The sequence below is a fragment of the Homo sapiens genome, chromosome 11, assembly GCF_000001405.40.
Source record: "Homo sapiens chromosome 11, GRCh38.p14 Primary Assembly".
Lineage (NCBI taxonomy): Eukaryota > Metazoa > Chordata > Mammalia > Primates > Hominidae > Homo > Homo sapiens.
The window spans coordinates 93,677,483-93,700,982 of NC_000011.10; the positions used below are offsets into that span (position 1 = coordinate 93,677,483).

The 23,500-nt window shown below is 39.1% G+C and overlaps 1 protein-coding gene across 21 annotated transcripts in view; it reads left to right on the forward strand.

The window, feature by feature from the left end:
- Nucleotides 1-23,500, forward strand: part of CEP295 (centrosomal protein 295) — a 68,677-nt gene that overhangs the window by 15,801 nt on the left and 29,376 nt on the right. For 11 of the 21 annotated variants that reach the window (XM_011543047.2, XM_005274366.2, XM_017018470.2 and 8 more), the window contains 9 exons: nucleotides 1,930-2,070; nucleotides 6,077-6,260; nucleotides 6,482-6,646; nucleotides 10,162-10,383; nucleotides 14,201-14,293; nucleotides 14,445-14,548; nucleotides 18,015-18,191; nucleotides 18,838-18,935; nucleotides 19,200-22,704. In XM_011543047.2, coding sequence (XP_011541349.1) covers nucleotides 1,930-2,070; nucleotides 6,077-6,260; nucleotides 6,482-6,646; nucleotides 10,162-10,383; nucleotides 14,201-14,293; nucleotides 14,445-14,548; nucleotides 18,015-18,191; nucleotides 18,838-18,935; nucleotides 19,200-22,704 — 4,689 coding nt within the window. Of the gene's footprint in view, nucleotides 1-1,929; nucleotides 2,071-6,076; nucleotides 6,261-6,481; nucleotides 6,647-10,161; nucleotides 10,384-14,200; nucleotides 14,294-14,444; nucleotides 14,549-17,999; nucleotides 18,192-18,837; nucleotides 18,936-19,199; nucleotides 22,705-23,500 lie in introns of those variants that run through there. The other 10 variants (XM_011543048.2, XM_047427788.1, NM_033395.2 and 7 more) reach the window with 4 other exon arrangements.

The following is a 23,500-nucleotide window of genomic DNA, read 5'->3' on the forward strand; positions in this document are numbered from 1 at the left end:
TACTTACAGCCAGTAATTCTCTACATTTTGTTTTGCTACATTCGCTACCTCTACACACAACTGAACAAAACATCATACGCTTAAAAGTCCTACATTACATATTCATGGGCTTCATCATGTCTATTCTTTGTCAGTGACAGTTACGTAGCATTTTTTTCAAATGAACTTTGCATTCTGAAAATATTCAGTCAGATTAACTGTATTGTTTGTGGTGAGACCCAGAAATGTCTGCAGAAAAGTGAAGCTGAATCAGTTAAATTCATCATCAATTTTCCATGCTCTATTATATCTAAAAAGATTTCTGTCCAAATATCTGATGTACAAGATTCAGAAATGTATTTAATAATAGCATTTATCATTCATATATCTTTGATCTTCACATACTGAAAATAGAATCTAACATTATTTCAACCAGATTTATGGTTATGTTTTTAATTGCATTGACACAAATCTATAGGGGATTGTCTTCCTAAAGCTGTATTATAAATCTTGTTTTGAAGTATGATCAATAAGAACAAAATTTGTTTGTGGTCCCTAACTTTTTCTCTAACCCTTTATTCATATCCTTTATATGCTTTTTTATATCTGGACTGATATTTATCATTCATGTTGTATGCTATTTTGAAATTTTTCCTTTCTTTAAAATTTTGGTTTACCAAAATTGACATACTGCTTTTAATTTATCTTCAAGAGATGTGAAGAATTCATAAACAACTTTTTTCTTGAAAACCTCATGGCTGAAATGGATTGAAATATTGTTCTCAGAGGTTATATTATTTAATATCATACATATTGATATACTAAATACTCCTACAGATTATAATTTTGATTTAATCTAACTTTTTTTGTCTTACCTGATGTTATTTAGTTTTGCATGAATATTTAGTGGCTCAAAGCGGTTATATTCTTGATAAATTTGTTTGGCCAGTGTACTCTTTGTTAATTTAATAACTGTCAATCTCTCTACCTATTTATCTCACCATGTGAGAATTTTTAATAATCTTACACTTGAAGTTAACAGCTTTTTTGGTCATCATTAATTGTTTCAACTGGCTGGCAGAATTTCAACATACAAAAGACAGAAAAAGACTTTTACTGCTGGTTACATTTAGAATATTTACCTATACTTGAAAGTGAATGTTCAGATAATAAAAGTAAATCCAGGCTGGATGTGGTAGCTTACGCCTGTAATCTCAGCGCTTTGGGAGGCCGAGATGGGAGGATTGCTTGAGACCAGCCTGGTCAACATAGCAAGACCCATCTCTTTAAAAAAAAAAGTAAATCCAGACTCTGTGCCTCTTTCTCTTTTTTGTGTTATTTATGTTAATGAGATTTGTGGGTATTTACCTTTCAATACTGTCATTTTAATGAAGTTTCCTTTTTTTTATTTTTGAGATGGAGTCTTGTTCTGTCACCCAGGCTGGAGTGCAGTGGCACAGTCTTAGTTTACTGGAACTTCCGCCTCCCGGGCTCAAGTGATTTTCCTGTCTCAGCCTCACGAGTAGCTGGGATTATAGGTGCCCGCCACCATGCCTGGCTAATTTTTATATTTTTAGTAAAGACAGAGTTTCACCGTGTTGGACAGGCTGACCTCAGGTGATCCACCCACCTCGGCCTCCCAAAGTGCTGGAATTACAGGCATGCGCCACCACGCCCAGCAAGAGATTTCTTTGCTTACAAAGTGATGGATAAATGTGTTTGGAGGAGTATAACCTCATCTGGTTTAAAATGAGTAACTCGTAAAGCTTTATACTAACAATTTGATCCCTTTCATAGGTACATGCCGTTGATAATTGTGGACATTTTAAAATATAACTCTTCTTATATTTTATATATGTAGAAAACATGATTTTAAGGTTGTTTTGTTTTTTAGTTACTGCTTGTCTCACACTTTAAAAATTTTGCCTACAATTTTTGATTGACTGCTAGCCAGATGCTCGTTTGGCTGCTGAAGAGGAAGCTAAACGATTGGAAGAACTACAAAAACAGGCAGCACAAGAGAGAATGGAACGGTTTGAAAAGGCACATGTACGGGGATTCCAAGCAATGAAGAAGATCCATTTGGCTCAAGTAAGACTTATATTCTACCCATGACCATTACTCATGGACTTACTAATAGCATTGCAGGACTGATTAGTGAATGAGCTCAAAGAAAGGTAGGAAGGGTGGGTGTTCAATATAGTCTCTGATTCATATGATTTCAAGTTTCCCAACTTTCTTTGCCCTCCAATTTCAAGTTCTGATTGGGTTAAGCTATTCTCCCAGTGTATTGCTATTCTAAAAATTTTACTAATGAATTTATTAAAAGTTTAATATTTTAATATGTCCAAAAACAGCCTGAGGAAAAAAATCACTTTCCTGATTATTTCAATAGCATATGTGCTCTATAAATTTGAGGATTCAGTTCATTAAATTTGTATTGAGCAAAGCACTTGTTGGCTTTGCAGAATGTTGTTTCAAAAATAAAGTCATGATCCTTGCTACCGGAGCTTTTAAAAAGTGACAGTCAATAGGCCAGGCATGGTGGCTCATGCCTGTAATCCCAGCACTCTGGGAGGCCAAGGCGAGCAGATCGCATAGGCCCGGGAGTTTAAGACCAGCTTGGAAAACATGGAGAAACCACGTCTCTACTTAAAACAGAAAAATTAGCCAGGCATGGTGGTGTGCGGCTGTAGTCCCAGCTACTCAGGAGGCCAAGGTGGGAGGATCACCTGAGCCCGGGACAAGGAGGTTGCGTTGAGCTGAAATCACACCATACCACTGCACGCCAGCCTGGGCCACAGAGCGAGACCCTGTCTCAAAAAAAATTAAATAAAAAGTGACTGTCAAGTCCAGTCGAGGTAGCTCAGGCCTGTCTCAGGCCTGTCATCCCAACACTTTGGGAGGCCAAAGTGAGCAGATGGCTTGAGCCCAAGAGTTCAAGACCAGGCTGGGCAACATGGTGAAACCCTGTCTTTACCAAAATTCCAAAAATTAGCCAGGCGTGGTGGCCTGGGACTACAGAGTCAATACAGTCAGTCCCAGTTTGGGACTGTGTTGTGGCCTGGGACCTCATTTCCCGAGAAGGCTGAGGTAGGAGGATTGCTTGAGCCTGGCAGGCAGAAGCTGTCATGAGCCGAGATTGCACTATTGCACTCCACCCTGGTGACAGAGTGAGATTCTGTCAATCAATCAATAAATAGTGACTGTCATCAATATGTAAAATATTGTAATGAAAGCTGGCTTTATAGTTTTAGCTTAACTTCTGTCATGCTTATTGTTCATTTAGTGCTTAGTCTTAAAATATAGCATAAAAATGATTCATCTTATTAGAAGTCTGATTTTATTTTCTGAATTTGACTAATGCATTTGGATTTTTTAAATACCCATCTTAGGAATGAGTTTTTAAGTACTTCTTAAAAATGCATTGGAAATTAAATTTTCTTATGAAAGGTTATTTTTATAGTTTGAACTAAATCATGAGCTTCTCCCTTAAATTTTTAGCTTTCATAAACTAGGAGTGAATTATGACTAAAATAACTGAATGTCTGAATTATTATCAGTAATTCTCCCCATCTAAGGTTTAAACCTATAGTAAAACAGACACAAAAAGCAGTCATAAATTGAACAGATTCTTCCATAAAAGCAGTAATGTTTAGTAGTTAAGCAAGTGGGCTTCACAGTCATTCTGCCAGGATTTATCTGTCTTCTTCACCACTCAGCTGTTTGATCTCAGGCAGATTAGTTAACCTCTCTAAGTTCTGTTTCATGTGTTGTTTTTTTTTTTTTTTTTGAGACGGAGTCTCACTCTGTCGCCCAGGCTGGAGTGCAGTGCTGGGATCTTGGCTCACTGCAACCTTCACCTCCCGGATTCTAGCAATTCTCCTGCCTCAGCCTCCTAAGTAGCTGGGACTACAGGCTCGCGTCACCACACCCAGCTAATTTTTTTTTTTTTTTTTTTTTTTTTTTTTTGTGACAGAGTCTTGCTCTATCACTCAGGCGGGAGTGCAATGGCGTGATCTTGGCTCACTGCAACCTCCACCTCCTGGGTTCAAATGACTCTCCTGCCTTGGCCTCCCAAGTAGCTGGGACTACAGGCACATACCACCACGCTTGGCTAATTTTTATATTTTTAGTAGAGACAGGGTTTCACCACGTTAGCCAGGATAGTCTCGATCTCCTGACCTCATGATCCGCCTGCCTCAGCCTCCCAAATTGCTGGGATTACAGGCGTGAGCCACCATGCCCAGCCCAAGTTTTTTGTATTTTTAGTAGAGACGGGGTTTCACCATGTTGGCCAGGCTGGAACTCCTGACCTCAAACAATCTGCCTGCCTCGACCTCCCAAAGTGCTGGGATTACAGGTGTGGGCCACCAAGCCTGGCTGTTTTTTGTTTTTGTTTTTTTTTTTTAACCTCCCCTGCCACACCTCTCCTGATCATCTGTTTTGTGAGGATTCAATGAGTTTTCCAAAGCCCTTGGAAATGTGCCTGGAATTTCATAAGCTCAGTAAATGTTAGTGGTAGTGGTCATTGTTATAAATAATCCAAAAGGAATAATATACTAGCTTGCAGTGAGCTAGAATAGTACACTTACTCAAACAACTTTAGATAATTAGAATCTTAGTATAAATGAAATAAGTTCATTTATAATTTTCCTTTTCAGGACATGGCAAAAAAAATTCATCCTCAAAAGACAAAATAGTTAAAACTTTACAAAAGAATAAGTAATGTATATATGTTATCACTTTTTAATTTATTTTTATTTATTTTTTATTTTTTGAGACAGTGTCTCACTCTGTTGCCCAGGGTAGAGTTCAGTGGCGTGATCTTGGCTCACTGCAACCTCTGCCTCCTGGGTTCAAGCAATTCTCCCGCCCCAGCCTCCCGAGTAGCTGGCATTTCAGGCGCATGCCGTCACGCCCTGCTACTCTTTGTATTTTTAGTAGAGACGGGATTTCGCCATATTGGCCAGGCTGGCCTCGAACTCCTGACCTCAGGTGATCTGCCTGCCTTGGCCTCCCAAAGTGCTGGGATTACAGGTGTGAGCCACTGTGCCTGGCCCATTACCATTTTTTTAATGCAGGATTTCTCTACGTTATAGTAGACTTAATGTTCCTTATATAAGAAGGTTGTTAAAAAAAAAAACCGTGCAATCTCACTGCTAATAGAGGATTTCATTTTTCCTGTCTGAACCTTTTTGCTGCATACTGTATTGTGGCCTGGGACCTTATTTCCTTCTAGTGTCTATATTAACTAATATTTGACTTCTACCTGCTTCTCCAGTTTTATCTTCCTTCCCTAATCATCCTTGCCCTCCATGCCCTAGCTATAATGAACAGTGTGCTATTTTCTGAATATCCCGTGCCTTCATCTCCATACTGTTGTGCTGCAGTTTTTTTCTTACATGTACTCATTCTCTTTCAGCCACTTTTGTCTGGCTAAATCCTTATCCCATCCCAAGGAACAAGAAGTCTTGCCTTGTTCTCCCTCCTTACCTTCTACCACCAAAATTCCATTAGATAACCTCATTAAAACACTGATTAAACTTTCATATTAGCCATACTCTTTAAGCTTAAAGAAATACATTCAGATCTCCTTTAATAATGGAAATTCATAAGAGTGTGAGGTAACAAGAAATATTCTATGTTAAGCCACAGTCACCCTGGGTCTTGGTGCTTACCTGAGATAGGTATATGGAGAACTGGAACAAAGTACATCACAGGAGCCATGGCAACTTATATAGACATTAACTTCATGACTTTCCTCAGAAAGGAAAACTGTAGCTGGCAGACACTTTTTGCAGCTTTATGGCCTAACCAGTACCACTCTTTCATTGTACTTACTAACATAACACTACTTATTTGTTGGTCTTACTACTAGGGTAGGGTTGAGATTGTGTCCCTAGCACTTAATGTGGTATCTGGTATTCAGCAAATAATTGTTGAATGAATAAATGTCTGTCTTTTGGCTGAACAAATAATAGAGGAGAGGAGAGAAGCTTAGACCCTGATCCTCATTTCCCCTACCTGCAACATTGTTAATATTACCATACAAAGTTTGTGACTCAGTTTTTGTTAATTCTCTTTATTCTTGAAGAATCAGGAGAAACTAATGAAAGAACTCAAACAGCTACAGCAAGAGGACCTGGCACGTAGGAGACAGACTGTAGCACAAATGCCACCACAACTAGTTGAACTTCCATACAAACGCAGTGAAATGAAAGAAGACTGGCAGAGAGAATTGGAATTTGCCTTTGAAGATATGTACAATGCAGACAGGAGTAAGATATTTTCAGTAGGGCTTTCAATAGTGATTTTATACGTTTTGGTGGGAAAATATGTTTGTAATGATAAAGCAGTTTTTATCTTGAAATGAGTTCTCTGTTTGAAGGAGGCCCCCCATATTTTAGATTGAGACATTACCGTGGCCTTTGCATTTTTGTGATCCAGTTATTTTTAATCATTTTGGAATGGAAACGTGTCTCTATTTTTCTTTTTTAAGAGGTGAAAGGGAATCTGATTCTGCACCTTGAACCAGAGCCCTTGCCCACTGTGACTAATCAGATCCAAGATGAAGAGCTGGACCTTTCAATGGAACAAGAAAATTTGGGTGCAGCTGAAGACCTTCCAGTGACAGAAGCTGAAATATGTTCTAGTGAAACAGATGGTAAAAACCCTTCTGAGCTAAATATTACAGTATTTCACAGAAAAAAAAAATGCTAACCATTAGCCAGCAGTTAGGAAAATCTGGTCTGATATAAGTGCAAGCAATGAGTAATACTGATGGGAGCAGTAGCTAAAGGATACAACGTTTTTATATTTCCATCATTGACGATCCTTTTTCATATGTGTAGGAGGAAAGTTTATTCAGACGTACAGATGATCTGAAGATTTTCAGGTTATTTGAGTTGGGTGCTCAATTCTGAATTCATTAGAAAGGTTGCATGGTAAACATATCTGATAGCAATAACTTAAGCATACCCTGAGAATGACCCTGTGTGGCATACACACCTGAATGTGTGTTCTGAGCTAGGGAATCTGGGAGTAGCCAACCTGGAGGTTCATTTCTTGTCTATGAGGAACATCTGAGCCCCTGTCCCATCCCGTGGAACATGAGCCATACAGAGGATCAAGGTGTCAAGTTTTGGGTTGAATGAAAGTTGTCAGGTGGAGATCGTTAGGAAAAGGGTACTAAGTGACAGTACTATTTAAACTGCATGCTTTTTGCAAGCGGTTGCAGTTCTTCTGTCCAGCCTGCTGCCACTGGACTCTCCCTTATGTGTATGCCCTCAGTGAAACCCCAAATCTCATTGGCTAGCTCTGGATCTCTTATTTGGCATCTTGAACCTGGTGCCATCCCCATTTGAGTGAGTAGAGGTTCAGCACGACAAAGATCAGCATAGACTTGTCAGATCATCAGAGATCCTACTGGTATTCAGTTATTTCTAGGTACTTCGTGTGTAATGATGGATAGCACAAATTTTGATCTCTCAAACATCTCTATCTCCAACATTCTGAACTTTTTTACTTGGCTGTCCCATAGTTAAAACTGCATGTCTAGCAATAAATTTATGATCTTCTCTTGCCTACTAAAACTGTCTCTACCTGTCTTTTCTATCTTAGTGAATGGTATCACAGTCTGCAGTTACCCAAGCCAGACCACTGGGAGTTACCTTTAATACTTTCCTTTTACCTGCATGTCTCCTTAAAGACCAAGTCCTCTTCATGGAATTCAGCTATTTTTGCCCCGTATCTACTGGTATTTCCTTTGTTTAAAACCACTGAGGCTTTCTTATCGTCTTCACCCTACACTGTGAACATAGCCTTTTGGGATTCCAACTTTATGTAGGCCTCCTATTATGTAGGCCTCCCATATCTACTGGTATTTCCTTTGTTTAAAACCACCCAGGCTTTCTTATCATCTTCACCCTACACCGTGAACGTAGCCTTTTGGGATTCCAACTTTATGTAGGCCTCCTATTAGACTCCTCAAGTGAGGGCTCTAGGCCTTATTCATGTCTCCTATGCCTACATTGTTGTCCAAACGGAAGCCTAAGGTTACTACCAGCAACTGGGGAAAAAAAAGCAGCAGCAGCTTAAGGTTACTGTGTTTTGACTTTGGCATAAGCTTAGCAGAAGATGGTTTCAGGGCTGACTTGCCTTCCCTCCAAGCTTTCCACTTAAATTTCATTTCTGTCCTCTGCAGAACCTTTTCTTTTCATGCCAGGTCAGCTGTGTCTTTGTTTGTTTGTTTGTTTGTTTGTTTTGAGATGGAGTCTTGCTCTGTTGCCCAGGCTGGAGTGCAGTGGCACGATCTTGGCTCACCACAACCTCCACCTCCCGGGTTCAAGTGATTCTCCTGTCTCAGCCTCCCAAGTAGCTGGGACTACAGCCACACACCACCATGCCTGGCTAATTTTTGTATTTTTAGCAGAGACGGGGTTTCACTATGTTGGCCAGGCTGGTCTCGAACTCCTGACCTTGTGACCCGCCCACCTCTGCCTCCCAAAGTGCTGGGATTACAGGCATGAGCCACCATGCCCGGCCAGCAGTGTCTTTAAAAAGATATTCTTACAGCCAGGTGCGGTGACTCATGCCTGTAATCCCAGCACTTTGGGAGGCCAAGGTGGGAGGATCATTTGAGTTCAGGAATTCAAGACCACCCTGGCCAACATGGTGAAACCCTGTCTCTACCAAAAATACAAAAATTAGCCGGGTGTAGTGGCGCTCACCTGTAATCCCAGCTACATGGGAGGCTGAGGCAGGATAATCGCTTGAACCTGGGAGACAAAGGCTGCAGTGAGCCGAAACCACACCACTGCACTCCAGCCTGGGCAACAAGAGTGAAACTCCATCTTAAAAAAAAAAAAGATATTTTTACTCTTTCATGCAGCTTTTTCAGTTATTTTCATTGGGAGTATCAATATCTAGTTTGTCACAATGGAAGTCTTGCCCAATCTAAAGGGACAGTTACACTTTAGCTCCTGCTGATCTCATTTGGTCTTATTGGCTTGGTGTTGCCAAGTTGTTTGTTTGTTTGTTTGAAGCTAGAAATCTCATTGTTTTTAAAAATCCTTACTTTTAAATATTGGCAATGAATTTACTTCTTAAAAATGAGTGGGTTGTGGACTAATGGTAAATGAAAGAAGCCAGGCAGAAAATAATACCTAAATGTGTGATTCCATGTTTATATGAAGGTTTTAAAAAAACAGGCAAAACTAATCTGTGATCTTGGGGTTAAAGTAGGGGCTGTTTTTAGGGGTGTATTGACTGGGAAGGGACATGAAGGAACCTTAGTCCTGGTAATGTTCCACATGATCTGAAAGGTGGTACATTGACATATGTGAAATTCAGTAAGCTATACACTTAGGTTTTTGTGCACCTTGTTCTTTGTGAATTATAACTCAATTGGAATTTTTTTTAATATAAGTTAGACAAAACTACAATCTGCCTATTTTCAACCTCTTAAAGATATTCTTAAATTTTATTCCTTGACTAAGCCAGAGAAATATGTACTTGCATCACACTTTTGTCCTCTTAGAGAACTGTTCGTATTATACTGAGTTTTGGCATTAAACTATCAGCCCACATGGGAAAATGTTTGAAGAAATACTTGTGTTGTTTTTTTGTTTTTGTTTTTAACTGAAGGGATCTCTGTGTGAAGATGGGTGGGAGACATTTTTCCCAGATAGTGCCAAGAATAATTTGGGAGCAGTTGATTTGCTTTTATGGCTATGATGTTTTCCTCTGTAGCTCACTAAGAAATACAGAGCCATATTTGGGACCATTCTCTAGTGTAGACTATAGAACCTCACAGCATATATTTTCAATACTAATCTTACCAGCAAATTAATTAGAAGTTACACATTCATTTATCATTTAGCAAGCAAAATAAACATCTTCCTGATAAGTTTTTTAGGCTTGATATTTGTGTTGCATACATGTTTTTGGAAAATACTTGAATTTTGGCACTTTTACTATTTTCAGTTGAAAAAATTATTTCTAGTTATAATGATTGGAGTCAGATAGCATTGTTGTATATACTGTTAAATCGTAAATATGAGGAAAATAAAACTGTGCTTTTAACTAGTGGTTATAGCAGTAACCGAATATAAGATGGAACAATTTGCCTGGTAATACAATAGATGCTAAATAAGTTTTTTCCCTTTTTCTTTCTTTTAGTTCCCTTGGTAATGAAGACCCAACAGATTCCTTCAAAAGTTCTTTTTAAAAAATTATTAAATAAGATCCGAAGCCAAAAATCTCTCTGGACAATTAAATCTATGTCTGAGGATGAAAGTGAAATGATTACGACTGTTAGTGAAATTGAGAGTAAAGCACCAACGGTTGAGTCAGGAACAATTGCCAGCAAAGAGAGAACGTTATCCTCTGGGCAGGAACAAGGTATTTCTCTCCAAGAGTCTCATTTTCTATAAACCCTTTTAAGTTGTTCAAAAGTAGGTTCGTTTCTGAAAAATCAAAGAATAGAGGTTAAAAGGAACAAAACATAATCCTGCTAATTAAAAGCAACAAAGAAACATTATAAAAGCCTTAGTGAATCTTCTTCCGGACCACTTTTAATCTAGTATAGTTATTTATATATATTAATTGCAAAGTAATCAATGAATCAAAATTAACCAGTTCCTTATTGAGATGTTCAGGCTGTTTTCTAATTTTTCTTGGCATTTTTGTGCTACAGTGGGCATCCTTTTAGTGAAGTCTTTGCCCACATCTTTATTTCCTTAGGAAGGACTCTTTAAAGAATAACTCCTGATCAAAGGATATATGAGCATGTTAATGGCTTTTGAGCGTGTTGTATTCCCACTAGGTATTTAGTTTCTTATTTGCTAATTTTAAATACTTTTCTGATTGGAAAAATAGGCTATTAACTATATTTCCAGAAGTTACAAAGTATCTTTTCACACACAATTCAAGTATCTCCTTGATTGGGATGATTTTAAAAATGTGATTGGATTTGTATAGAAATGTTTTGCTTCTATGCTTTTGATAAGAGTGACTTGTGGTCTATATTTGGGTTTTGGATTTTATCCTGAGTCCCACAGGAAGCCTTCTTGAAGTATTTTCTTCCCTTGGCCCCTTGACAGCACCTTCACTTGGTTTTCGTACTTTACTATTTTCTCTTGCATTTTCTTCGCTGTTTATCCACATCTCCATAATGACTAACCATTGTTAGTCGTTGGTTAGTCTACAGCTCATTCCGCAAGTCCCTTCTCTTTATATCAAAACTCCCTAGTTGATCTCAAATGTCACACTTTACATTATCATCTGTAAACTGATGTCTCCCAAGTATGCATTTCTATTTTTGGCCTCCTGTTTGAACTCACCTTACTTATTTAACTGTTTCCTTCTCTTGTATATCTAATAATATCTTAAATTTCTTCAGAAGTGACCTGTTGATATCCCCTCCCACCACATACCTGCTTTTCCTACAGTATTCCACATTTCAGTATCTGGCAATATGTTAATTCCCTTGCTCAAGCCAAAAAGCTTATAGTCATTCTGGTTCCCTCTTTTCATATCTTATGTATCTTATGTCCAAACTATTAGCTGATCCAGTTGGTCCTACCCTCAAAATATATCCATAGTCCAACCATTTCTTTCCACCTACATCCTAGCTTAAGCCATGTTCATTTCCTAGGGTAGATTCTTGTAGTAGCCTGCTATCATCAGCCTTTGCACCTCCCTGTTATTGTCTATTAACATAGTGGTCCTCTTAAAAACAAGTAATCTCATGTCATTTCTTTGGATGAAGCCCTCCAGTAACTGTCAGTTTCACTCAGTAAAAACCAGAGAGTTTATAGTGGTTTCAAAGCCTTATGTGACCTGCACACATACACCCCCACCACCACTACTCCCATACTCACTACCTCTCTGACTTCATTTGCCTGCCACACCTCCCTACCCATCTTCTGCACTGTAGATGCCAGCTTGCTCGCTGTTTCTCAGACAGCAAACATAGGACTCGTGGTCTTAGCAATTGCTAATCTTTTTGACTAGACTTCTCTTTTTCTTGGGTATTTCCTTGACTCACTCCCTCACTTCCTTCACATGTTTACTCAACTATCCCTTTCTCAGTAAGGCCTTTTCTGACTATATAAAATGGCACACTTCTACCACTCCCCACCTCTACCCCAACCTCCACACCTTTTACTTCCTATCCCCTTTACCCTGCTTTCCCCCCATAGCTCTTATCAATATCTGATGGGCCCAGTAAAGTGACTGGTGCTTATTTTGCTTATTATCTTAATGCCTACCCCACCCATCCATAAGGACAGGAGCTTTGATTTTGTACATTGCTATGTCCCCAGAGTCTAGACTACTGCCTTGTACAAAACAGGTGCTCAGTTAACATTCGTTGAATTAATTGAATAATTTAAAGCAAGAGAGGTAAATTTGGAATCTAGACATATATATGATATTTAAAGCCATGGGCATAGAAAACCACTTGGAGGGGAAATAATTTAGTGAAAAGAGGGCTTGTAAGACCATCTGAGGGATTCCAACATCTAGAAGATGGCTAGAGAAAGGGCAGATAGCAAAGTCAGTAAAAGGAGTGGCCAGAGAAGTAAGGGAGAATATGGTGTTGAAGTCCAAAAAAGGGAACTCTCATAGTCAATCCGTGACCAAGTTCTTTTGATAAAGGGCCTGGCTGGGCGCAGTGGCTCACACCTGTAATCCCAGCACTTTGGGAGGCCCAGGCGGGCAGATGACGAGGTCAGGAGGTCGAGACCATCCTGGCTAACACGGTGAAACCCCGTCTCCACTAAAAATACAAAAGATTAGCCGTGCATGGGCTGGGTGCGGTGGCTCATGCCTCTAATCCCAACACTTTGGGAGGCCGGGGCAGGCAGATCACGAGGTCAGGAGATTGAGACCATCCTGGCTAACATGGTGAAACCCTGTCTCTACTAAAAATACTAAAAAGTAGCTGGGCATGGTGGTTGTGGGTGCCTGTAGTCCCAGCTACTTGGGAGGCTGAGGCAGGAGAATGGCGTGAACCTGGGAGGTGGAGCTTGCAGTGAGCCGAGATCGGGCCACTGCATTCCAGCCTGGGTGACAGAGCGAGACTCTGTCTCACAAAAAAAAAAAAAAAAAAAAAGTGAGCCAGGCGTGGTGGCGGGCACCTGTAGTCCCAGCTACTCGGGAGCATGAGGCAGGAGAATGGTGTAAACCAGAGGCAGAGCTTGCAGTGAGCTGAGATCGCACCACTGCATTCCAGCCTGGGCGACAAAATGAGACTCCGTCTCAAAAAAAAAAAAAAAAAAAAAAAAGATAAAGGGCCAATATGAGCAGGCTTTCACCATTCTCATCTTGCTTTATTCTCCCCCTTGCCTGACTAAAACCATGCACACTGATCTCTCAGTTTCTTGAATGGGCCAAGGTTTGTTTCTTTATCCTCACGGGGCCTTTTATACCCATTGGTCTGTCTGGAAAGGTCTCCTATACATCTTCATGTTGTTTACCTGGCTGGTTCTTCCTTACCTTTCAAGTGTCTGCTTAAATGTCGTTTCCTCAGAGAAATTTCATCTTGCCCAGATTTATTATACTCTATTGTATAACCCTTCACTTTTCTTATATAGTACTTATTACAATTTCTAATTTTATAATTTTTTTCTGGGATAATTATAAGATGGTTCTGCCACCTACTCTGTAAAGCCTCCTTGAGGCATTTTCTCATTTACTGTGGTATCCCCAGCATCTGCCACATAAGTAGGTACCAAATGAATTAATGAGTGAATGAACGGATAGCTCCATGCAGACTATCTGGCTACCCAAATATGATCAGAACAAATTGCTTTAACTTCCTTCTCTGCTCTGGTTTCACAAATTATTTTTTAAAAACCTAGTATCCAAATATATCAAAGATACATTGACATTTTGTTAGCTTCTCCTTTTTAACTTTGATACCTTGTTGTTTCCGCTCTTTTTATGCCTTTCTCCTATGTTTGAAATCCTATCAGCGTATCTATTAAATCAGTTCTTCACGTTTTCACAATTTCAGTCTTTCATCTCTGTTGTTATTATTAGGCTTGGGTTTAATGAGAAATATATCTGATCATCAGGAAGGTTACTGGATCTTAACTAGATGAGACATTCAGATGGCCCTAGATTGAATGTGTTAATACCAGAATTTTGTTATTTTGCTTTAAGTTTGACAATGATTATATATTCAAAATAACAGTGGTATTATCTATTACAGTTGTTGAAAGTGATACACTAACAATTGAGTCTGGACCACTTGCTAGTGAAGATAAACCACTTTCGTGTGGTACAAACTCTGGAAAAGAACAAGGTATTTCTTTTTATCACATCCTCAAATTAAATTTGACTCCTTGCATCTTTTTTTTAAATAAAATTACATGTGATATATTAAGAAAGGGCATTATAGTGGTGTCAAAATTCTAAATTATTGAAACTAATTTTTGTTTGGGGCATTCCCCTAGAAATAAATGAGACTCTGCCTATCACAACTGTAGCTCAGAGTTCAGTTCTACTTCATCCTCAAGAAGCAGCAGCCAGGATTAGAATGTCAGCAAGGCAGAAACAGGTAATTTGAAATTTTATTTTTAAAGGTTTATTTTTCCCCTAGGTACTATTATATAATTTTGTTTGGCCAATGAAATTTGTCTTAATGTCTGGCTAATTTTGATATCATGTTTTTGACATTGTCTTACACAAACATTCAGCTGATAAAATGCGTGTTGTCTTTGCCCATACTGCTCATTCAACCCTTATTGTGTCTGCTTTATATTTTATATATTTGTATAGATCTTCCCTATAAAATTTATTAGCTTTTAAAAAGCAGAGACTATCTTCTTTAAAAAATTCAATTTATCCTACACAGTTTCTGATACAATGCTTTGTACATAGCAAGTATACAATAAATAATTGTTGAATTAACAAGTCCTTGTCATAATATTAGACACTCAGATGGGCTTTGTAATCCCACAAGTTTTTTGAAAAATAATACTTCAGAGGAAAAACTTTTAATATACAGCGCCCTTTTTTTGCTCCGTCGCCCAGGCTGGAGTACAGTGACACGATCATCGCTCACTGCAGCCTTGACCTCCTCAGTTCAATCCTCTGACCTCAGCTTCCTGAGTAGCTAGGACTACAGGTATAGGCCACCATGCCCAGCTAATTTTTTTTTTTTCCTAGTAGAGATGACGTCTTGCTATGTTGCCCAAGCTAAACTTTAACTTCTTTAGGCTGGGCATAGTGACTCATGCCTGAAATCCCAGCACTTTGGGAGGCTGAGGTGGGCAGATCACTTGAGCCCAGGAGTTTGAGACCCACCTGGCCAACCTGGTGAAACCCTGTCTCTACTAAAAATACAAAAATCAGCTGGGTGTGGTGACACAAATCTGTAGTCCCACCTACCCAGGATGCTAAGGTGGGAGGATTGCTTGAACCCAGGAGGCGGAGGCTGCAATGAGTCAAGATCACACCACTGCACTCCAGCCTGGATGACAGAGTGAGACTCTATCTCAAAAAAAAAAAAAAAAAACAAAAGGCCGGGCCCGGTGGCTCACGCCTGTAATCCCAGCACTTTGGGAGGCTGAGGCGGGTGGATCACGAGGTCAGGAGATAGAGACCATCCTGGCTAACACGGTGAAACCCCGTCTCTACTAAAAATACAAAAAATTAGCTGGGCATGGTGGCGGGCGCCTGTAGTCCCAGCTACTCAGGAGGCTGAGGCAGGAGAATGGTGTGAACCCGGGAGACAGAGCTTGCAGTGAGCCGAGATTGCGCCACTGCACTCCAGCCTGGGCGACAGAGCCAGACTCTGTCTCAAAAAAAAAAAATCCTCCTTAACTTATGACTTTGGTCTCATCTACTTTTAATAAAATATTTTTTTAACCCAACTTACCTCGAAGGAGGCTAATTATTACTAAGCAGGCCAGTTTATAGTCCTAGTTAGTTTTTTCAAAAATACAGCTGGGGAATAATTCCGTGAGCCAGTATTTCTTCTCAGATAAATACTTTCTCAGGCCAGGTGCAGTGGCTCATATCTGTCATCCCAGTACTTTGGGAGGCTTAGGCGGGCGGATCACCTGAGGTCAGGAGTTTGAGACCAGCCTGGCCAACATGGTGAAATCCCATCTCTACTAAAAATACAAAAAGTATCTGGGCGTGGTGGTACGCACCCACAATTCCAGCTACTCAGAAGGCTGAGACAGGAGAATCGCTTGAACCCAAGAGGTGGAGGTTGCAGTCAGCCAAGATTGTGCCACTGCATTCGCCTGGGCGACAAGAGCGAAACTATCTCAAAAAAAAAGAAAAAAAGAAAAAAAGAAAAATTTCTCATCAATAGTCTAGAACAGTATTGTTCAGTAGCACTTTCTGTGATGATGGAAATGTTTTATATCTATGTACAGTATGTACCTGTTAGCCACATGGGCTGTTGAATAAAATAGTGTAACTGAGGAACTAAATTTTAAGTTTTATTTAATTTTAATTAAATTTAAGTAGTCACATAAAGCTAGTAACCACTCTATGGACAGTACAGTTGTAGATGTACTACAGAACTGTAAACAGTCTAAATTCAGGGGCTCCTATGAGTAAGGGAAAGTAAGGAAGAGGAACTGTCTGGGAACTCAGTTGAAGCCACTGTTGCCTAACTAGGAATAGGTAAAGAATCAGGTCAAAACATTTTTTATTTTGAAAACAAGATCATTGTTCATTATCTCTAGTAGAAGTGCTGCTCTTTATATAAGAAAACAACGTGCATTCCTTTTTTTACTTATTCAGTAAATACTTGTCTGTTTATCAGGGACTGTAGAGTAGTCCCTGCTTATCCACAGTGTATATGTTCCAGGACCCCTAGTGGATGCTTAATAGTACCAAACTGTGGATAATATTGATTCCTGTATATACTATGGGTGAATTTATTTTTCCTTCTTTATAATTCCACTGATAGAAGATTTACTTTTACCATAGATCTTAGCAATCAGCGTATAATTTTTTTTCTTTCCTTATTGAGAACTTTCAGCTTTTCACTAAAAGGAAGCACTTTACAGCCTCTCTTTGACATATCAAAATTGCCAGCATTACTACTCTTATGCTGTGGAGCCACTGTGAAGTAAAATAAGGGTTATTTGAACACAAGCACTGTGATGCTGCAACAGGCAAGTTTTTGTAACCAAGATGGCTACTAAGTAACAAATGGCCTGGTCCAGTTTACAGCATGGATATGCTGGACAAAGAGATTATTGATGTTTTCAGCAGTACAGAGTAGGACAGTGCAAGATTTCATCACACTACTTAGAATAGTGCATAATTTAAAACTTATGAATTATTTCTGGAATTTTCTATTTAAGATTTTCTGGCTGCTGTTGACCCTGAGTAATTAAACCACAAAAGCTAAATTGCAGATAGGAGGGGACTAAGGTGCTGGATTTGGCAGGCTAGTTTTGTCCTCATGAAACTCATAGTTACTCAAACATGTTCATATTACTTAGAGTGTGAGTGTGCTTGTATAGTATTAGAGTTTATGTGTTATCTTTCTGCCATTTTCTTCTGTTCCATGCCTGACAAAAAAGACACAGAATGTTGTTCATTGCTTCTAGATAACTATCCCTCTTAATGAGCATGGTTAAGAAGTCAAAGTATTTTAGGAGGCCTTGATATTTAATTTCTTTAGTCATTATTTATACTATTAAATGTGTGAACATAGAATTTGGCTGTACATCATTTGCTACTTCAAGGTAGTTCTTCAGTGGTGATCAGGGTTTCACTGTGCTCTCAGAAAGTAGAAATAGTTAATGTATTTATTCTTTCTTTTCCTTCTGCCTTTTTTTACTTCTATCCCTTTTTCTCTTTTTCCCATTTCCCATCTTTTACTCCCATCCTCAGTCTGTCAGTGATAACAACAGAGATAAAGCATCAACACTTACTTCTTTGAAAATTGGTACCCTTGGTGAAGAAACCTAATTTCTTTTAAATGGAACGTGTGTTATCTTTGCCTTTGTATGAGTTTGTTGTTAATAGATCAATAGTATTTTGTTACCTAGATAATGGAAATAGAAGAGCAGAAGCAAAAGCAATTGGAATTACTTGAACAAATTGAACAGCAGAAATTAAGATTAGAAACTGACTGCTTCAGGGCTCAGCTGGAAGAAGAAAAAAGAAAAAAAACTCAACCGACTGGGGTAGGATGCAGAAAATCTCATCACTACATAAATCATTTGGTAAGGGGGGCAAGAAAATATGAGCACTTGTAGCGTTTAGAAAAGTAAAATGGATGGCTGGGCGCGGTGGCTCATGCCTGTAATCTCAGCACTTTGGGTGGCCGAGACAGGCAGATCACTTCAGGTCAGGAGTTCGAGACCAGCCTGGCCAATGTGGTGAAACCCCATCTCTACTAAAAATACAAAAATTAGCTGGGCATGGTGGCACGTGCCTGTAATCCCAGCTACTCCAGAGGTTGAGGCAGGAGAATCGCTTGAACCTGGGAGGTGGAGGTTGCAGAGTGAGATTCCATCTCAAAAAAATAATAATAATAAAAGTAAAATGCCTTTGTAATTCTTATTTGGTCTTTTTTTGATATAATGTATGTATATATGAATAAATTTGCATCAGTTACGGCTTTCATCTTTCAGTTTCTATAGGATACTAATAGATACGACCATGGTTTGTAGGTAATGCGTATGTTGAGCTTTTGGACCTGCACTGAAGGAGAATGACAGATTAGTTCATTTCTTACTAATGGAAATGCCAGTCATTTTATAAAAAATAAAGCTGTATGGAAGTTTACAATTATAGAACTGTATGTAAAAATACTTCAATACTTACTTCTAAATTTGCTTTTTAATTAGTAACTTTGTCTTTTATTAGGTTGGCATTGCTCCAGCATCATGCCCTGTAATTTCTGATGAAGATAGTCATAGGCAGATGATTCGTAACTATCAACATCAGCTTTTACAACAAAACAGGTATTAGCTAGGGTATAATTTATATGTGATCGTATGTGGCTACATTTTTAGGATTTATTGTTTCATTTATATGAGGATCTAATTTGGATTTCCTTAGAATTATGGCATTTAGAACTGCCATTCTTAAAGGACAATGTGAGTGTAATTTCTTTTCACCATGAGTATTGCCAACCCTAGATTGCTGTTTGTTAAATTTAATGTATAGACATGGGGCTTTTTATTTTTCATTAAAAAACAATAATTGTTTGCTTTTGTTTTTGGTAGGTTACACAGGCAGTCTGTTGAAACAGCCAGGAAACAATTACTTGAATATCAAACTATGTTAAAAGGAAGGTGCCCATCGGTGTCAGCTCCATCATTGATAACTGATTCTGTTATATCAGTGCCATCATGGAAATCTGAGAGACCGACTGCTATATCAGAGCATTGGGATCAAGGTCAGAGACTCAAGTTGAGTCCTAACAAATACCAACCCATACAACCTATACAGACCTCCAAATTAGAACAAGATCATTTTCAGGTAGCGAGACAAAATCACTTTCCACAAAGACAGGTGGAAACAACAGAAACATTACGCGCTTCAGATATTTTAACCAATCAAGCTTTAGAATCACAAGAACATCTAAGGCAATTCTCTCAGACTGAAACACAACAGAGAGACTATAAATTGGTCCCCAAAGATTCTGAGACACTTTCAAGGGCTTTGTCACATGACAGGCAGCTAATATCACAGGATGCTAGAAAAATATCTGAAACATTTGGGGCAACAACTTTTCAAAGTTTAGAATCCCAACAATTGTTCTCAGAGAATAGTGAAAATATATCTTACCATTTAACTGAACCTTCTTCATTTGTACCACTGGTACCTCAGCATTCTTTTAGTTCTCTGCCTGTTAAAGTTGAGTCAGGAAAAATTCAAGAACCCTTTTCAGCCATGAGCAAAAGTACAGTTTCCACAAGCCATTCTATAATCAGCCAAATGCATGATAGGCCTTTGCTGCCGTCAGAGAATATCACAGCCCAGCAAGGTAATATGAAGGCCCTCCAAGAACAGTTAGACCTACAGAAGAAAGTTCTTCAGGCAACTCAGGAAGCTCAGGAACAGTTGCTTTTGTGCAAACAGAAAGAAGTGGAACAGCAAACGGGCCTCTCGGTATTCCTTCCCTTGGTAACTCCAGATTCATCTGCTTTATTGCCTTCTGCCAAAGCAGATTTGGGGAGAATCCAGGAATCTTCACCAACCAAGAATAATATTGCAGTTTCCTCAGACCATCATGTGATCTCACAACTTCAGGATAAGCGTTTGAGTCTTTCACAGCCTATCCTATCACAGCAAAATAATTTTAAATTTCTCCAAGAGCAGTTGAATATTCAGAAGGATAGCCTTCAGGCTAGGCGAGAAGCCCAGGAAGTATTGTATGTACATAAACAGAGTGAATTGGATAGAAGAGTATGTTCCGAACAGGCTGAGCCCTCTTTCCCATTTCAGGTAGCTCAGCATACATTTACTTCACTACCATCTGCTGATACAAAATCTGGAAAAATACAGGAGCAACATTCATCTAAGAGCGAGAAAGGACTTGTTTCATGCCAATCTGACATCCCCATATCTCAGGATGGGTCTTTGAGTTTCCTACAGCAGTTCCTACCTCTACATGATAGTTTGAAGTTGCTCCAAGAACAGTTGACTAAACAGAGGGATACTCTTCAGGCTAGGCATGAAGCTCAGGTGGAATTACTTTTACATAGACAAAGAGATTTGGGGGACAGTAAGTCTGGGCTGGTGAGCTCTTCATCCTCACCAGTGGTTGTTCAGCATTCAGTTGCTTCACAAGCTTCTGCTAAAGCTGAGCCTAGGAGAATTCAGGAGCTTTATTTATCTGAGAAGGAGAATGTAGGTCCCTCCTGTCATTTGATAATCCCAACATTTCAGGATAAGTCTCTTAGTTTTCCACAGCATAGCCTGGCACAGCAAGAAAATTTGACAATACTCCAAGAACAGTCACAAATACAAAGGGTAATACTTGGTGCTAAAGAAGGAACTCAGGAATTTGTACACACAGAAAGTGAATTGGAGAAAAGAATTTCTTCTGAACAGACTGGCACCTCCTCATCCCTTTCCCAGGTGGATGAATCTGAGAGATTCCAGGAATGTATATCAATCAAGAGTGACAGTACCATTCCCTTAAGCCATCCTAAGATCCCAAGATGTCAGGAAAGACTTTTGAGAGTTTCACAACATATGCTACCTCTACAAGATAATTTGGAGGAACACCAAGCATGGCTAGACACTGAGAAAGAAGCCTTTCATTTCAGCCAGAAAACCCAAGAAAATACATCTTCTGAACAAACTGGTTCATCTTCATTCATACCCCAGTTGGTACAGCTTTCATTTACTTCGTTAGCTTCAGCTGAGTCTGGCACAATCCTGGAACCTCTTTTTACAGAGAGTGAAAGTAAAATTTTTTCAAGCCACCTTCAGATCCCACAATTGCAGGATAGGCTTTTGAGGATATCGCAACTTATCCAGCCTCAACAAGATAATTTGAAGGCACTTCAAGAACAGTTAGCTACACAGAGAGAAGCCATCATTCTAGCTAGACAAGAAGCTCGGGAAGAATTACTTTTACATCAGAGTGAATGGGAGGGAAGAATATCTCCCGAGCAGGTTGACACCTCTTCCTTACCCCTAGTACCACAGCATTCATTCGCCTCATTACCTCTTAATGAATCTGAAAGAAACCAAGAACCATGTTCAATTAACAGTGATAATATAGTATCCTCAGGTCACTCAGAGATACCAACATTGCCTGATGGGCTGTTGGGTTTATCACATCTTGTTTTACCTCAACAAGATAATTTGATTGCACTTGAAGAACACTTGCATGCACAGACAGATTTCCTTCCTTCTATTGAGAAAACCCAGAAAGAATTGGTTTTGTCAAAACCATGTAAATTTGAGGAAAAGGTATCTTCTGAGCATTTTATCCAGTCTCACCATGGTGATTTGCAGGCACTTCAACAGCAGTTAGATACACAGAAGAAAGCCATTCGATCTATACAGGAAGTCCAAGAAGAATTGCTTTTGCAAAGATTAAGTGAATTGGAGAAAAGGGTATCATCTGAACAAGTTTGCTCCTCTTCATTTGTATCCCAGGTGCCTGTTGCTGACTCTGAAAGAACCCAGAAGTCTTTCCCAACCAAAAGTAATGATACTCTTCCCTCAAGTCATCGTGAGATTCCAAGATTACAGGATAGACTTTTGAGTTTATCAAAGCCTATTCTGCCTCAGCAAGATAATATGACAGCACAATTGGATGCACAAAGGGAAGTGATGTATTCTTATGAGAAACCCCAGGAAGAACTGTCTTTAAACAAACAAAGAAAGTTGAACAAAAGTGAATCTGCTGAGCATACTATCCCCTCTTTGTTTCTACCCAAGGAAACAGAGCATTCGTTTATTCCACTACCTTTTGCAGAAGCTAAACCTAAAAGCACTTGTGAATTGTATTCATCCCAGAATGAACATGCAGCCCCCCCAAGTAATCCTGTGATCCCAGGGTTTCAAGATAGACTTTTGAGTTTTTCACAGTCTGTCTTAACTCAGCAAGATAACTTGGGACTTCAGAAACAGTTGGATCTACAAAGAGAAGTTCTGCATTATAGCCAGAAAGCCCAGGAAAAATTGCTTGTACAGAGACAAACAGCATTGCAGCAGCAGATACAGAAACATGAAGAGACTTTGAAGGATTTCTTTAAAGACAGTCAGGTATGTTTTAAACCTGAATAATAATGAAACACTAGAAGTTTAAACCCAAATCAGTTTTTAATACTAGGATTACAAGTTTTCAGTTATTGAGAAAAAGTAGTTTGACCTTAACTGTGCTTTGATTTTTCACCCTAAATGATGTGGAAGTTAAAACAAAAATCGATCCACCCACATGGTGTTTATGAGGTTAATAGTTACGTGAAGTCCAATTAATTTTTTTAAATTTTCTTTTGTTTTTGCTTTTTTTTTTTTTTTTTGAGACAAGGTCTCGCTCTGTTGTCCAGGCTGGAGTAGAGTGGCACCATGTCGGCTCACTGCAACCCCTACCTCCTGGGTTTAAGTGGTTCTTGTGCCTCAGTCTCCCAAGTAGCTGGGATTACAGACATGTACCACCATGCCTGGCTAAATTTTGTATTTTTTTTTTTTTAATAGAGACAGGGTTTCCCCATGTTGCTGGGATTACAAAGTGCGGGGATTACAGGTGTGAGCCACCACACCTGACCCAAAGCTCAATTAATTTCACCTGCAAACACACCACAAAACAATGTAGATTCTTATTTTAGAGTTTTGTTTTAATGTATTTTAAGCTTACCATAAGATTTAAATTGTAAAAATAACTGGTTAGCAGAATTTCTCTTATGCAGCAACAGACATTGTGCTCTTTGTTGACATTTATATACAAATCAAAATCAATACCATCTTTTTTCTCAAGTGACACTATTATGGTTTGTTGTAAAACGGGCATGATTTTAGGCTGATGTAGAGCTGGACCTGCTGCTTTTATCTGAATTGTTCA